The sequence below is a fragment of the Homo sapiens genome, chromosome 4 (assembly GCF_000001405.40).
Source record: "Homo sapiens chromosome 4, GRCh38.p14 Primary Assembly".
NCBI classification, from domain to species: domain Eukaryota; kingdom Metazoa; phylum Chordata; class Mammalia; order Primates; family Hominidae; genus Homo; species Homo sapiens.
The window spans coordinates 151,954,797-151,972,004 of NC_000004.12; the positions used below are offsets into that span (position 1 = coordinate 151,954,797).

The 17,208-nt window shown below is 41.5% G+C and overlaps 1 long non-coding RNA gene and 1 pseudogene across 1 annotated transcript; one reads left to right on the top strand and one right to left on the bottom strand.

Moving 5' to 3' along the window:
* Nucleotides 1-1,180: 1,180 nt before the first annotated feature.
* Nucleotides 1,181-14,580, top strand: LINC03074 (long intergenic non-protein coding RNA 3074). Its single transcript, NR_183803.1, has 2 exons — nucleotides 1,181-1,460; nucleotides 12,200-14,580. It is a non-coding gene; the product is annotated as a long intergenic non-protein coding RNA 3074 (long non-coding RNA).
* RNA5SP169 (RNA, 5S ribosomal pseudogene 169) lies at nucleotides 16,701-16,817 on the bottom strand (annotated as a pseudogene).

Below are 17,208 nucleotides of genomic sequence, written 5' to 3' on the forward strand. Positions count from 1 at the left end.
CTCAAGTGGGGCTGACCTTTAAGATTGGCTGAGAACATAGTTTCCTTTCTTTCCTTTCAAAATCTTTGTCTTGTCTCTTATTCTCACTCCATTTGGAGTCATGTTCTCTCTCACACACACATATGCCTGTGTGCTATGGTTTAAATGTTTATGTCCCCCCAAAATTTGTATGTTAAAACCTAACCCCCAAAGTTATGATATGAAAAGATGGGGCCTTTGGGAGGTGATTAGGTCATGAAGGCTTTGCCCTCATGAATGGGATTAGTGCCCTTATAAAAGAGGCCTGAGGGAGCTTGTTCATCCCTTCTGCCATGTGACGGCTCAGCCAGAAGGCACCATCTATGAGGAATGGGTCCTCACCAGACAGTGAATCTGCTGGTGCCTTGATCTTGGACTTCCCAGACTCCAGAACTCTGAGCAATAATTCTCTATTGTTTATAAATTTTTTAGTTTTAAGTATTTTGTTATAGCACCCTGAACAGACTAAGACACTATATTTAGAATGTCATAGATCCATGCAGTTTCAGCATGATGGCTGGCAGAATATCATTTGGGAAAAAAACATTTTCTTTTTCATGCTTTTATTTTTTTTTTTAGATGGAGTGTCACTCTATCACCCAGGCTGAGTGCATGTGGTGGCGCTATCTCGGCTCATCGCAACCTCCGCCTCCTGGGTTCAAGTGATCCTCCTGCCTCAGCCTGTCATGTAGTTGGGATTACAGGTGCCCACCACCACACCCAGCTAGGTTTTTTTGCATTTTTAGTAGAGATGGGGTTTCACCATGTTGGCCAGGCTGGTCTCAAATTCCTGATCTCAGGTGACCCACCCACCTCAGTCACCCAAAGTGCTGGGATTACAGGTGTGAGCCACCGTGCCCAACCTTCATGTTTTTTTCTACCCCAGTTTGCAGCTAGGTAAAGGCAATGTCAAATACCAAGTTGTGCCTTGGTTATACCTACATAAAAAAAAAGAAAATAGTTTTATAATCTGAGTGGTGGTTTTAAAATAGGTCCATAAATTCTTTGATACTCCTTCCTTCAAAAGGTGGAGGCTAATTACCCTCCCTTTGAGTGTGGTCTCTGCTTAGTGACTCACTTCTTATGGATAGAATGTGGTGGAAATGATGATGTGTTACCCCGTACGCTAGGTCATAAAAGGAACTGCAGCTTTGTTCTTGCTGTCTCCCTTGGATCACTTGCTTGGGGGGAACCAGCTGCCATGTTGTGAGATGCTCAAGCAGCTGTATGGAGGAGCCCATGTGGAAAAAAACTGAGCACCCCTCACAACCGATATTCCCTTACCAGGAGTGTGGCAAGCCTCCCTGGAAGCAGACTCTTCAGCACCAGTCAAGCTTTCAGATGCTGCAGCCGTGGGCAATGACTTTGCTGCAATCTTATGAGAGACTAAGCCAGAACCACCCAGCTAAGTGGCTCCCACATTCATGACTCACGAAAACTGTGTGAGATAATCAATGTTTATTGTTTTAAGCTGCTAAGCTTTGGGGTAATTTGTTATATAGCAATAGATAATATACTCTGCACTCAAATTATTTCCTGTGAGAACTAGAGGTGAAAGGTAAGGTATCTCTGTCATGTCAGAGTGGCTAAGGCTTTTAAAGCAATGACCAAGGACAGGAATTCTTAGTTTGAGAAGCTTGGCCCAGGGGCAGATAATAGAACTTGTTTGATTTCTGTTTACACTCCCTTCTCAAAGAAGGTGCAACAACCTACAACAAAAATATGTTCATGGAAGCCATGGTAAATAGGAAAGAGGAATATGGTAAATAGGAAAGAGGAATATGGTAAATAGCAAAGAGAAATAGGAAAGAGAAAACCACAACCAGATAAAAGAAATGGTAATTGTTAAGCATAACGGTCAACATAATTGCAACAGTTGAACTTTAATCATGACTCCGAGCCATGGTAAAAGGGAAAACTTAGCAAGTTCTATAGCTCTTATTACTGGAAAGGAAGCAAAGCTTTTCCCAGCTTTAGATGTTTAAAAAAATTATCTTGTGGACTTTAATATAGATGCTGATCTAGGTAAAAGACAAGGCTCTCAATCATACTTTTGGAGATATTGGGTTAACAAAATTCATTTAGCTGTTACTTGTGTTCTTTAGTAAAGGAGGTGGGAGAATGACAGTGCTAAGCACTGTGATAGATTATAGAAAATAGAAGGAATTCCTCTGACCTAAGTGTTACCAGGCCTTTTGAAAGTGGCAAGTAAATGTATGTTAAAATATTTTTGATCTGAGCTTTTCTCTCTCTTTTTCTGTTGGTATATATATAGCACAAAAGCACTTCTTGGGCAGCAATTTAAAATAGCCCAGTTTATCTCTCTGCTTGTATTCCAGGTCTTGGTTTTGAGCTATAAATTCTTGCTGCTATCTTGGACTTTTCCTGAGAATCTGAATCCTTCAGCACATCCTATCACATTCCACCAATTCTTGACCTTCTGTTATCCTCACCAGCCCCCCGGGCTTTGTTCAAAGTCCTGCAGGGAGGCTGCAGAGACAATGGAATGCACAGGCTGTGGTAGCTCAGCTGCGGGGACTGTCCAGGCGCCTAACTGGTTGTGTGAGGCTTTCAGAGAACGCTGCTCCTGTGCTGGGCTTCAGAGAGAGGGCTTGCTGCAGCACAGTGGGGTGGCCTCCTGCTGGTGGCCCAGGCCACAGGGATATGGAAACATGTGTCTAGTCTAGAGCTGCGGGCTTGGGTGACCTTGAGGCAAGGGAGGCACCTGGGGGCTAAAATATAAGGAGGCACTCATTCTCCTCTCGGTCCTGTTGAGCTGTTTCTTATTATGGCTGAAAATATGAACTGAACCATGTGAAGATGCCTAGCACATGGCCGGGAATGTAGTACGTTTCAATTAATGTTGGTTTCCTTCTTCCCTTTGACTTTCCTTCTTCTACTCTATCTTTTCTTCTCCTCATCTTGCTTCCTTCCTCCTTTCCTTCCCTTTTCCCTCCATTCTGCAAGCATCTGAGAGGCAGGGCTGGTGTGTGTTGGGTTGTTTCCTTTGGGTCTCGGCCCTGCTGTCTCCCCTGCTGGATACTCCCTGTGTCTTCTCTGTGTAATTAACTACAGCCCATCTTCCCCATCTCCAGAGGCTCACGCCTTTGCTGACCCCCACTTACTTGGCCAACTCCCCCTACTTTCTGCTTCCATCACATGGCGTCTGTCTTTTTAAATTCTTACCACATTGATTATTTTATATTACTTGATTGATTACTTGATTAAAATACATTTTACATGTATTTGTACGATTACTTCCCTGAGACTGTAACACGTTTCTGGTCACCTTTACAGTCCCAGTACTCAGGAAAGTGCCTGAGACATTGCAGGCATGGAATAATTATTGGTTCCATGAATTAATGAACGGATGAATGAAAAAGCCAAGTTCCATGATTTGTATCAGGTGTAAGCCAGTGAATAACAGTTTCTGTGTGATGAGGATGAATGTTTCTACCTAGTAGGGCACATGTAGCACTGAGGAAACCATGGGCATCTCAGGCTGCTGGATGCCAGATGCCTCGGACCCAGAGACGCCACCTCCACACAGTAACACAGGAGAGACGGCAGGGCCAGATTGAGTGACCTCATAAATAAAGCAATGCCTTCCAGGTCTTTCTAAAATACTAGGTACCTGCATTAATTTTCTAGGGCTGCCGTAATGGAATACCACAGATTGGGTGAAGCCACCATGTTGGCTTAAGCAGCAACAGAACTTTATTTTCTCCAGTCCTGGAGGCAGAAAGTCCAAGATCAAAGTGTCAGCAGGGTGGTTTCTCCTGAGGCCTCTCCTTGGCTTGCAGATGGCATCTTCTCCCTGTGCCTTCACGGGGTCTCCCTCTGTATCTGTCTGTGTCCAAATTCCCTCTTCTTGTAAGGACACCACATAACCTATATTGGTTTAGGGTCCACAGGAGCAACCTCATTTTAACTTATACCTCTTTAAAGACCCTGTCTCTCAATACAGCCGAGGTAACAGGGCTCAGGACTTCAATAACAGATTTGTGGGGCGGCAGGGGTGAGACTCAGCCAGTAGCATTACTGCTACAGCCAAACTGCCACTTCCTGGCTGAGTGGCTTCAGACAAGGTATTCACCTCTCTGTGCCTCCATCTCCTCACCTGGAGATAATAAAGCTACCACCTCACTGAGAGGTGTGAGAGTTAAAAGCCCTAATCCCCATGAAGCACTTGGGACAGTGGCATGTGGCAATGCTCAAGAAGTGTCAGCTATTATGATGATTACTTAGCCCTAAGGGAGTTTTTTTGGGCATTGGAGTGTAAGAATTGGTCTCTGCCCTCAAGATGCTTAAAGTCGTCTTACATAGAATATAAATCTAATAAATAAAAACAACAAGAGACATTTTCCGTGACGGATGCTTTTTGGGCCACCACTTTGGAAGGGAAAGCCAAGAGGTGGAAGGAATGATGATGGCAACCAAACTTAAGTCTCAGCTGTGCGTCTCCACCTCCCAGCACAACCGGGTGCTAGCAGCATCAGGCTCTGTGGTCTCCAGGGGGGCGCTGCCTGCAAGAGGGCTCAGTCCGCAGCATTCTCAGTCCTTGTAGTCACCACCCTCCACTTTCTTGAGCCATAGCTGCCAAGGGATGTTTACCTGTCTCCCCAAAAAGTGGTCAGAACCACTTTGCAGGGCTATCCTCCCCACCCTAGAACTCCTTTGGAGATGCCTACATGGAACTCTTTGATCACCACCTGCTGTTGCTGCTGCTGCTGCTGCTGCCTGGGGCCCCTCAGTGACCCTCCTTGTCCCTGCCATATCAGCAGGACATGTCTCTCTCTATCAGGACTAATGGGACCATTTCTCTCTACACTGGGGCTGGCCAGGAGCTGGATCATCTCTCCCCCTCCTGATCATGTGTTGTGCCTGCAGAAGTAGCTCATGGCTCCTGTGCTTGCTAAGTTCTATGGATATAGAAAGAGAAGAACTCTTGAGGAGAAGGGATGTTGGGAGGAAGTGGGATGGTGTCATAGCCTTATTCAAACATCACCTTCTCACTAAGGTCATCCTGCCACCCTATCTCAAATAGATGATACCATCCTTGCACTGCCTATGCCTTTGGGATGCCATAGATTTTACTTTTATGCCTATTTTCTCAATTAGAGTGTAAGGTCCACGAGGGCAGGGATTTTTATCAGCTTTGTTCATTGCTCTATATCCAGCTCCTAGATAAGTGCCCAGCACATAATAGCACAAACATTGAGGGAATGAATGAATGAACTCTGGCCCTGTGAGCTCTTGACATCCAGGAAGAGACTGAGGGTCAGGGACCCTCCTGCCCATGTGCAGGCTCTTGTTGATTACATCAGCCAGTCAGACATGAGTGGACCACCCAGAGCCTTTTCAATCTAGTTCCATCAGTCATGAAGTTAGTGGGGCTCCCCTGAGGGATCGGCAATAGGTGGTCCATCCCAGCCGTGAAAGCAGTAGTTGCAATAGCGAATCTTTATGCTACTTATATTAGACTGTTTAGAATTACTATCAACTGATCTCAAAAAATAGTAGGTACTATTATTATTCCAAAACTGAAGCATGAAATGGTTATGTAAACACCCCCAAAACTGCATAACTAGTAAGTAGCAGGTCTAGAAATTGAACTCAAACTTGTCTGACTCCCAAGTTCTTGCTTTTACTGTGAGTTCTCATCTCTTTTTGGTTTTGTGGGTATTTTAAGCTGTGTCAGGGCCTGCTTACCAGATGGCTTTTTAATCTCTCTCTTGTTGCTACATTATTAATCTCTAAATTGTTTAGTGGAGAGGACTGGTACAGAAAGGAGGCGTCTACACGGGAGAGGTTTCCTGGAATTGCTGCTGACATTTCACGTGGGCCTCGGTGGGTGGCTTAGGTTTGGGTAGAGGGAGAAGAGGCAGGCACGCTGGAGCCGGGGAACAACACTGAAACCCGTCTATATGGCAGCTGCCCTTCTGGGGATGGAGCAGACATACCCGTGTTACCAGCAACACAAAACTGTGAACTGGATTTAGTCAAATATTTAGCTGGTGGTTGCTTCCTGCTTCTGTCTGCTCAGAAAGGGATTAAAAACTCCTTGTAATCTTCCATTTTCTAAGAATCCATAATGCACTGAATTTTGGATACTCTTTTTGGAAAAAGGTTGATGCTTCAGGCAGAATTCTGCAAGCAGCAATGTCCCACAGCCTGGAAGCTTTCCCTGGGCGTGTTCACTCCTTAGAATGCGTCACACTAAGCCCGGGGACAGACAGCTGCCACATGTCCTTTGAATAGGTTGTGTGTAGGAGGCTGTAGAGGTTGATGTGGCTCCTCTGGAAGCTGAGAGCCAGGAACCTCTCTGGTCCTTGCATCCTTGCAGGGTGGAGCAGACAGTGCTGTCAGATGAATAAAGTAGAGGGAGGCTGGAAATCTGAAAAGCTCATCTATTCTGCCAACCATAAAGCATTTTGAACTTGCTCCACCCTTCCTATTTTCCATCTGCCTCATTATTCAGCACAGTAATATTTGGGCACTTTGAAAAGAGTGATATTTTCACATAAAGCTATTCCAAGGAGAAGGAAAAATATCCTCATTTGGCATAAACCACTCATGCAAATTAGCCTAAATAAAAATAAGACTAAAGACAACTTAGAATATTATTGTACTTTTCCAGGCTCCTGCCAGTCACTGCTGTCAGCTGTAGCATCTCTCCACCCTGGATGACAGTGTTGAGAAGTAGGGCTTACCATTTAGGAGAAGTTGTTGCTAAAGAACCCACTCAAAAAGAATGGGTATCAAACATCCTGCACTCAGGTTGTGTTGGAACCACGCCCTTGAAGGCAACACAATGTACCAATGATTGGACTTCCTAGAAGTACATTCCCTCTGCGTTTCCATGTTTGGCTTATCACAGACCAGTTCATCAAGGACTTGACATTCACTCTGTTTGTTTCTGGGAGACCATTTAAGTACTCTGTGTGTGTGTGTGTGTATGTGTGTGTGTGTGTGTGTGTATTAAGGGCCAGTGCTATGCAAACTGCAAACTGTATGAAAATGTTTTTTTTCTTATGGATGAGAAGAGACTATAATATCTCAAGGCCTCTGGCACAGGAATTCTTTAGAGCAGGATAAACAAATCATTATTCTCATGCCACTGATGGCAGTGAAGCAGTTTCTCTACTTTCTTTCCATTTGCACTTCTTTCTTTTCTCTCCTTCTCTTTTCTTTACTTTTCTCCTATTCTTAGTCTCCTTCTGCCTTCTCTTCCTTCTTTTGTGGGTGTGCCTTATGTTTGCTCTGGGTTCCAGGGTCATTCAGACTTGAAGCGATATGTGGGTCCAGAATTGAGGACATGTTCTATGGCCACCTAAGACAAAGGATGTTAGTTTTTATTATTAATTTCCTCAACCCGTGGTTAAAATGGCATCATTGGATACAGTCTCAAAGTCCCTCCCTCAGCCCAGTTGTATTTGTGAACTGTTCTGAAAGGAGAATCTCAGTCTGCTATATTTATTCCAAGGTTCTATTTCAATCAGATGTTAAGACAACTGGGACAACACCCTTACTGGACTAGTCACAAAGGAGACAAACATGCCAGAACAGCCATCCCACATCTCTAATTTCAAAGGTCATGAGAATGGTGGTTGTATACACCCTACTGCAGCTTTGATTTGTTGGGGTGGAATTTGCAATGCTATATGAAATCAACAATGCTGACTTTTGAATTTCCTTTTTTTAAAATCCTCTCTCTTTTTAAAATCTCTCGCTCTCTCTCTCTGTGTTTTCTATTGAGACCATGATGTTGCAATCTGTTTTTCATCTGAGAAATGTTTCACTGAGGAAACATGCCAAGAGATAAATGGGGAAGTGCTGAGGTGTCGTCCATCTATAAAGGTGGTTTTTCAGTTGAGTCAGGGAGGAGACTAAGATTTCTGAAGTGTTCTATGAACCCCATTCCTCCGGATGTTTGGTTTATAAGTGAAGCTTCCAAATCTCTGATTTCTTTACCTGAATGCCTTCAGGCCTCCTTCATTAATCATGTTCTTCCCATTCTTCCAAAACAGCCTCCTTTTCTTATCTTTCCCCTTACCTCAAACTCTCAATATTTCCAGGAGATCAGATTCCAAATCTCAGCCACGTGGTTGATTTGTATAGAAGTCCCCACTATTTTGCATGCTCTTTGATACAGTAATTCCACCTAGAGCTATTTGTTTATGTTGGCAAGTGCAAATATTAGGCATAGAGGTGACCATTAGAGCATCTGTAATGAGATGAAAATCAGAACAATGAGATCGTTGTTGAATAAACTATGAACATTGACAAAATGGAATTGGATGCAGTCACTTCAAATGATGTAAAAGATTGACATGGAAAATATCTTCAATGTATTATTTAGAAGAGATAAAAAGACAGTTATAAATAGTATTGTCCTATTTTATTAAAAACACGTACATATGGTTGTTTGAGAAAAGACTATTTGTATATATCAAAATGGAAACAACGGTTGTCTCTGAATAATAGGATTAGATGAAATTTTTATCTTATTAATTTTTTGCTGATCTATTTTTTGATTTTTAACTTTTTTGTTTATGCATATCTTCATATATATAGTATAATTTAGATTTTATTTTCTCCTCTTATTAAAGTATAGTTTGTCACTTCTTCAAGAAGTCAGAACTAAACTAGGGAGGGAATTAAAGAACTTGTAGAGAGTTCAAAATGAAGCCACAAATGGTGGTTTGTAGAGGGTTCAAAGGTTAGCCACAAAAATGGCTTGGGTATGATGGGAAGTAGAAATGGGATTGGGAAGAAGGGAAGAGAAGGATAAAAGACACAGACTAAAAAGGCCACATCATTAGTTCTACCAGAGGTTTTAGGGGAGATTTGATGAATCTGTGTGTCTACAAAGGCTCTTTCCCGCAGCAGGGGGATCAGTCTTTCTACAGCAACCAAAAAATAGAAGTGACTTCAAAGTCTAGTATAGGGAATAGGAGGAGAAATTTTCTTTTAGAAACAGTGGAAGGGGAGACTTAAAGAGTTGTGAAAGCTGGGAGATTTCCATGTGCCTGCAATGATTTGTTACTTTGGAAACAGAATAGAATCAGTGTTAAAAGCCAGATTTCTGAAAGGACAAGAGGTGTAGACCACAGAAAATTACCAGAGGCCACTGTCAGAAAATTACCCTAGCATTAAACAAAGTTAACCAGGGAAACCCACATAAGCTGAGTTATAAGCTTCTTTTTAGGTGTGAAAGTCAATGTTCTCTGATCAATCCACACCTGTGACAGAACCCTGGCCCAGACTGTCCTCAGAACACCAAAGGTGGCCAGGTCAATGGCCCTCATTTTTTTTTCAAGATTATGAGAGGTTTGGAGGAGTTTGTCAAAGAGCCATCAAACTGGCGACATTACTAGGGAACTTGAATCATAGAGACAGAAAGTTTAAAAGAGAATTGCAATTATTTCATCTACTATTGGGAAGAAGGAATAAGATAACATGACCTAATTGTTTGACTCTCTTTCAAATAGGAAAAATATTAATTAAAAAATACAGTCCAGAGACAATTTAAGTTAAATTGTTTAGTGACATTGGAAAAACACCAGAAGAGAACTCAAATATGATAGCGTCAGAAAAAAAAAATTTTTTGGTGGATAAATAAAATCTCTACCCATTGGAATCTAACTAATTCCAATCCTAAATTAATCAGAGTTTACACTTAAGGAAAAGTGTGGAACATGTGCCCCTAGCAGAGAATTCTTAACAGAATAAACCATCAGTCTGATCTGGTATGGCAATTCCCACATGTTTATTTATTTGTGTTTAAAAGCCATGAGTATCTTGAAAATCAGCCCTGTTGCCCACATCTACAATTTAGAATGACAGCCCCAAGTATTGCTGGATTCTAAGTCAACCAAAAAATACTCCTTCATGCTTAGTGTAATCCTCTTAGAATGGCAGGAACAACCAATGTTATAGTTTAGGAAGAATTTTCAAACATGGGGGTAGATGGTCAATGAGGTTTTCTGTGATTGTTTTTCTTTTTGGATAAGGCTTCCTTTGACAAGAAAAATAAACCAGAATATACTTCATTCATTAATTTATTCATGTATGTAATCACTCCACAAGTGGTTACCGAACACATGATATGTGCCAGGCACAGTATTGGTTGTGAAGGATGAGGAATAAAGTCCAGGTCCTGCCCTCAGGAAGTTTGCAGTCTAACCAAAGACACCTACCTTTTGGGTGCTTTTATGAAATGTACTACCAATATTAAATGTGCTGAAAAGTCAAATAGAGCTGATTTCATCTATTTCTCCAAATTAATATTTTTATCCATTCTGCAATGTCTTTGCAGTATATATATTTTCTTTTTTTAAAGTTTTCTTCCTGGTATCTGGTATGCAGCTAAACAGTATCAGTTTCTTAATATGGATTAATTTCCCAGAGAGTTGTGTTGGCTTCCCTTTGCCCGCCAGGTCCGCTCTCTGCCCTTCTCCATCCAGCTCTGCCTGGGAGGCTGGTCTGTGTGCCCTCTGGCTTTGGGTTGGGTTCAGCCAGTGAGAGGGGTGGCGGGAGATGAATGGGTGAGGCGATACTATGATTGGGGTGTTTATTTCCCCACTGCCTCCCATCCTTTATCTCTCGACAAAGACTTAAGCAGGAAACCCTCTCCAAACACCACCCTTCATGTCTGAAGCTGGAATGGCTGCCTGCTATTGCGAGTAAGGGGAACTGCACTATACCTTTTGGTTTCCTAAATCCAATTTACATTTTTGTAAATAGTCCCTCTATTAAACCCTCCTCAAATTACCTAGCTTAAGGGTACTGTCTATTTCATGCCTTCCTGATAGAGAGTAGGGAAAGCCTTCTTCATTAAAGGAAAAAACAAAATATTTATTCTAGATTATTTCTGGGACCAGCATTAATGGAATGCTTAGAGAAAGCCTTAATTTAAATAACCCTTGTTCATAATTATTCTGTTTTGATATGTAAATTAGTAGCACTCAGTGAGACATAATCAGATCGTAGATTTTAAAAACTTTCTTATTTCTTTCACCACCTAGGAAACCATAGACATGCTAACTCCATGTCATTGCTAAATTCCCAACCTTAACGTAGTCCCTTGCCCCAGAGCTGGGAACAGTGGTCTTCCATATTCAAGTTCAACTTGATGTGAGTTCCCAGGACAGGTCCTGACCTCAGATATCAGGGACTCCGCATCAAGACTCACTGGTTTCTAGCCTGGCTGCAACCAGGTTTCCTCTCCTTACTCCCATGTCTCTCTGTCCATTCTCTCTGGGACTCAAAAATCCTGCTTTCATCAATACCCTGCCCAGGAATTCTGCTGCCCATGGGTGGCTGCCCCTAGCTGGGGTGCAATGATGGGTCCTGGGTCTCTGCTAACCAACCACCTGTGCTAGCTGCTAGTGTGACTGGGATAGGGCCTGGTCTGCACTTCCCATCCTGCCTTTGTATGGCACCATACCCACATTGAGCATATGGAGATACAGCACTTCCAAAAATGCCAACTCACTCGTTTATTGAGTGGCTATTCTGTTTCAGGAACTGTTCTGTGTTCTGAGGAGGTTGGTTTCATATTACATTTAAAAAGTAGGAATAAATGAATACATTCCACTCTTAGAAGCAAAAGGAAGGGAGATAGCTTATCTACTTAAGCCTTAGCTTTAATTCATTATGTGGGTTTCTTCCTTTTCCTTTGAATACACATCTATCACATCCCTTTTGTTTTCTTTTAAAGATAGTTTGCTTTCCCTTCATAGATAAGTAAAGCAATTATATATTTAAATGATTATATCAAAAAATCTGATTCTACTGCAATTCTAGAACTAGTGTTTACTTTCAAAGACCATAGGTCTGAAATCATCAAAACTCTACTTTCAAACGCTCATAATTTAGATTGTGAGATATAGTCAGTATTTTGCCCATTTCTATATAATGAGGATATTTCTGTCTTTTCGCTAGCTACACAAACTGGCCCTGACTTGCTGATATATGTTTAACAAATTCTTCTGAATAAAATAGCCTGTACAACAGCTTTAGTGACAGGTTGCTGTCCACTTAACAGATTTTAAAGTTTTATTTACTAAAGCTGTTTGGGAAAGTTTTTATGTACAGTTTGGGTGACAGTTCTTTTTGTTTCTTAATTCCACTACTCATGATTTGATGTGTGTAACCATTTCTTTTCTTTTTAAAGGTGAGGACACATGGTGAATAGAGGGCTTGCTGGCAATTGGTTCACAAGCTGAGGAGGGCACAAAGGCCAGATATTTCATCTGAAGAGTTCACAGGCTATTAAAAACATTAACAAGATTTTACTGCCTCACCTAGGATGGAAATAATTGCTTTAAAGTGAACTGGCATTAAAGTGAACACGTCAAGACTACCTACTTGGAAGCTACAGGAGACAGAAACAGAAAACACGACTCCTGAATCATGTTCCATTACTTTAATCGCTAAACACTGCTCCGTTTAAGCTAAAGAGATATAATGGTACATTTGACAGATGCCTTCACATCAAGATGAGATAGGGCCCTGAAAGTCGCATGTTGAACCTTTCTTACCTTCTACGAGGATGTCACTCAAAATCTTTTCTCAATTCCTCTTCATTGGCTGATTACACAATACAGAGTCATTCCTAGTGCAGCCCAACCCTCTCCCCAGGTGAACCTTGCTTTACACAAAACACCTGTGTATAAATAACCTGGTAATCATTCAAGTTGTATTCTAAATGCACCACAGAGATCTCACTTTTTAAGGAACACTGAAATAAATGCTTTAGTGAAGCAGAATAGCCCTTTTGTAATGTAAACAATATAAGCCTAGATAAAGCTTCCAATTTACCTAAGTTTAGATTTTTGCATATTGGGTTTCATTAAAGCAGCATATATCTGTAAAAGAAAATATTGTAAGCCTCAGCCCTTTGTCAATCATAATGGTTTTTAAAAATCCCATTAGTTTGAATAATTAAATACCAAAAAATACTTTCCGCCTGTATTAAAATTTCTGATTTTAATAGAAAAACCAACAGAATGACTGTTTTTAAGCTTCTAGTTCAATCTTATTTTAAAATGACAAACAGTATAATGACTAACATCATGCAGAAAGTACACTGCAGAGTGGGGTAGTAACTAACAAAATATGGCCATGATCTACCTTTAGGACTATAGAGGACAAATAAAACGGAATAGAACCAGCTGGGCCCAGTGGCTCACGCCTGTAATCCCAGCACTTTGGGAGGCTGAGGCGGATGGATCACCTGAGGTCAGGAGTTCAGGACCAGCCTGACCAACATGGTGAAACCCCGTCTCTACTAAAAATACAAAAATTAGCCAGGTATGGTGGCACGTGCCTGTAATCCCAGCTACCTGGGAGGCTGAGGCAGGAGAATTGCTGGAACCTGGGAGGTGGAGGCTGCAGTGAACCGAGAAAGCGCCATTGCACTCCAGTCTGGGTGACAGAGCAAGACTCAGTCAAAAAAAAAAAAAAAAAAAAAAAAAAACAAGAAAAGAAAAAAGAAAAAAAAGGAATAGAACCAGGTCTGAGTGCTAAAACCTTGGAGAAGGTATAGTAGCAGCTAAACAGGCAATGTGTTATTGTTACAACTTGACAACTACGCAGGTCCACAAAGGAATGGAAGCTGAGAAATGTGGAGTAACATGTTCAATGTCACATGGGTTCTAAGCAGAGAGGTCAGAATTCAAACTCAGATTTCTGCATCTGAAATAAGTGTTTTTAACCCCTCTGCCTACCATTTGATTGAAACTTAAATTGTAGATGTTTGAACATTTTGATTGACAAGGATGGATTTTCAAATGGTTTGACCGAAAACCTCTCTCTACCACACAGAAATCAAAGTGGGAAAAGGTAGCCATGACCCACGGTGACCTGAGTCTGTTTTATAGGACCAGAAAGAGCCCCAGGCTGTTTTTTCTCTTCTGCCCCACACGTTTCCATGCTACACCCACCCACTTTTGGATGTACTCTGCACAGTTGCCTTTTTATTCAGGAATCTTTAGAGGGCACCATCTGTTCACCAGGCCCTGTGTGACGCGCTGGAGTTACCAACCTGAGTACAACTTAGTCCCTGACCTTGAGAAGTCCGCATTATTACCCTTCAGGGAACAAAGCAAGAGTATAGAAATTGCATGAGCGGAAAATCATTTCAGGGATGGATCCAGCTGCTTTTGCACATGTGAGAATGGCCATGCCAACTTAGGGTACCCCCTCAAAGAGGGGGTGAAGGAAGGGCACCTGAGCCCCACTGCCTGTCCCTCCCCATCCTGTGTCCTCTCCAGGACATGCTGATTGCCACTGTCTCTTCACCCCGGCAGCTAAAGAAAGTTGCATGGGACGTGGTGGGGAAGGAAATCAAAAGTCTAGAACCCACACGGAATGCTGGTCATTCTTCATCTCTCATTTGTCGCTCTAACAACATGTCATTTCACGGCTCAAGTGAAGCCACGTTTCACTGTAGTTTATTCTCTCAGAAGCTGAAGCCCCACGCTCTGGTTTCTATCCCACGTACTGTATTTAATTTTAGCAAAATCCTAGTAAATAAAATAATTTGGAAAAATATGGAAGTTAATGAGATTTAGCTTATATACCCATAGACTCATGCATTTATTATGGAGAGTTTATTAAAGTGAGTTGATATTTCATATAGCTTTAAAACAAACACACCAACCCAGTTATTTCTTCCAGAATATTGCCCACAGAACTGTGGGCGGCATACTCCTGCCCAGTATACATGATTTCACACACTTCTCATAGCCTTGAATGTTTGCTTTCAGAAGAGGATCTTTTCAAATGTTTTAGGCTGGACATTAAATTCAGTCCGTTATTGTGTTTAGTTCAGAGCAGAAAACAAACTCACTTTGAACATTGCAGTGGATTTTTGCTTAATAGAGACACATCCTTCACTTATGGCCAGCCCTTGGCACTAAGAAAACAAACCTCATTTATCCTGCACGTGAGGTGAGATGTCATTAAGTTGGAAATTATTAATGACAACTAATGGTTGGTAGTTATTAATGACATTTGTGAGAGCAGGATAAAAACAATAATTACCATAATTTGAGGTGTCATGAATAAGCAGTAATTGTAATAGTGATTATTATTATAATAATGAGTGAGAAAATGATTTTAGGTTATTAAATCAGCAAGAATAAAGGAAGCCTGCACATGTATATATGTATATTTGATTGTGGAAAGTTGCCAGATAAAAACAATAGTCACTCTCTCTTTTTTACCCGCTTTGGTGTTTTTATTTTATTTTTTAAAAAATTTGTGTGGGTCCTTAGTAGGTGTATATATGTATGTGGTACATGGTACATGGTATGTTTTGATACAGGCATGCAATGTGAAATAAGCACATCATGGGAAAAGGGATATCCATCCCTCCAAGCACTTATCCTTTGAGTTACCAACAATCTAATTACTCTCTTAGTTATTTTTAAATGTACAATTAAATTATTATTGACTATAGCCACCCTGTTTTGCTATCAAATAGTAGGTCTTATTCTTTCTATTTTTTGTACCCATTAAGCACCCCCTTCTCCCCTCCAATCCCCTACTACGCTTCCCAGCATCTAATAATCATCTTTCTACTCTCTATGTCCATGAGTTCAATTGTTTTGATTTTCAGATCCCTCAAATAAGTGAGAACACATGATGTTTTTCTTTCTGTGCCTGGCTTATTTCACTGAATATAATGATCTCCAGTTCCATCCATGTTGTTGCAAATGACTGGATCTCATTTTTTTTAAGGCTGAATAGTTCTCCATTGTGGTATACGTGGTACACCACCTCCATTGTGGTATATGTACCACATTTTCTTTATCCATTCATCTGTTGATGGACACTTAGGTTCCTTCCAAATCTTAGTTATTGTAAATAGTGCTGCAACATACATGGGAGTGCAGATATATCTTCAATATACTGATTTCCTTTCTTTTGGGTATATACCCAACAGTGGGATTGCTGGATCATATGGTAGCTCAATGTTTAGTTTTTCGAGGAACTTCCAAACTGTTCTCCATGGTGGTTGCACTAATTTACATACCCACCAACAGCGTACAAGGGTTCCCTTTTCCCGCCACATCCTCACCAGCATTTGTTATTCCTTGTTTTTTTTATAGAAGCCATTTTAATTGGGGTGAGATGATATCTCATTGTCAAAAGTCACTATTGATTGAGGGCTTACCGTGTGCCAGGCACTGTGCCAAAGATGTGGCACACATTATCTCATTTAATCCACAGCAACTCTGCAAGCAGATATTATTGGTAGCATTATTATCTTTGATATACAAATGAGAAAATGGAGGCTCGGAGCAGTTACGCAATTTGACAATGGTAAGTAAATAGCTGGTAACTGGCAAAAAAGGGGTTTAAAGCTGGTCTAGCTAACACCAAAGTCCATGCAATTAGCCAGTATTCTTTGTTAACTGAAAATCAATGAATATATCGTGTTGCATAGGACAATGCTGGCACTTGCTCTACTGCCAATTGCCCCAAGGGGATAGGTCTGACTGATAAGTCATCTTAGACCCAAGGGTCCCAGCTGGCATGAAGACCTTTCCACAGACCAGTATGGTGACAACCCCACAAGGACAGGCCACAGACTCCTCAATGGAGAAGCACTGAATATTTCTGTAAGGAGGAAGATGTGGTTACTCTCCTGGGTTGGGTATAAAGCCTTCTAAAACCGGGCCTCATGGGGTTTTGTCGAATCCAAGTACTAATAAGGCCTGACTCTGCTTAGCTTCCAAGATCAGACTAGATGGAGTGTGATCAGGGTGGTGATGTAGTTTGGATATTTGTCCCCTCCAAATCTCATGTTGAAATTTGATCCCCAGTGTTAGAGATAGGACCTAAAGAAATGTGTCTGAATCATGGGAGCAGATCCTTCATGAATGGCTTCGTGACATCCTCATGGTAATAAGTGAGTTCTCGCTCTGTTAGTTTCCTCAAGAACTGATAGTAAAAAAGAGATTGGCAGCTCCCTCCTGTCTCTCTTCCTTCTTCTTTCACCATGTGATCTGCACATTCCTGCTCCCCTTTGTCTTCCACCATGAATGGAAGCTTCCTAAGACCCTCATCAGAGGCAGATGCCAGCACCATGCTTCTTGTACGTCCTGCAGAACTGTGAGCCAAATAAACCTTTTTTCTTTATAAATTACCCAGCCTCAGGTATTCCTTTATAGC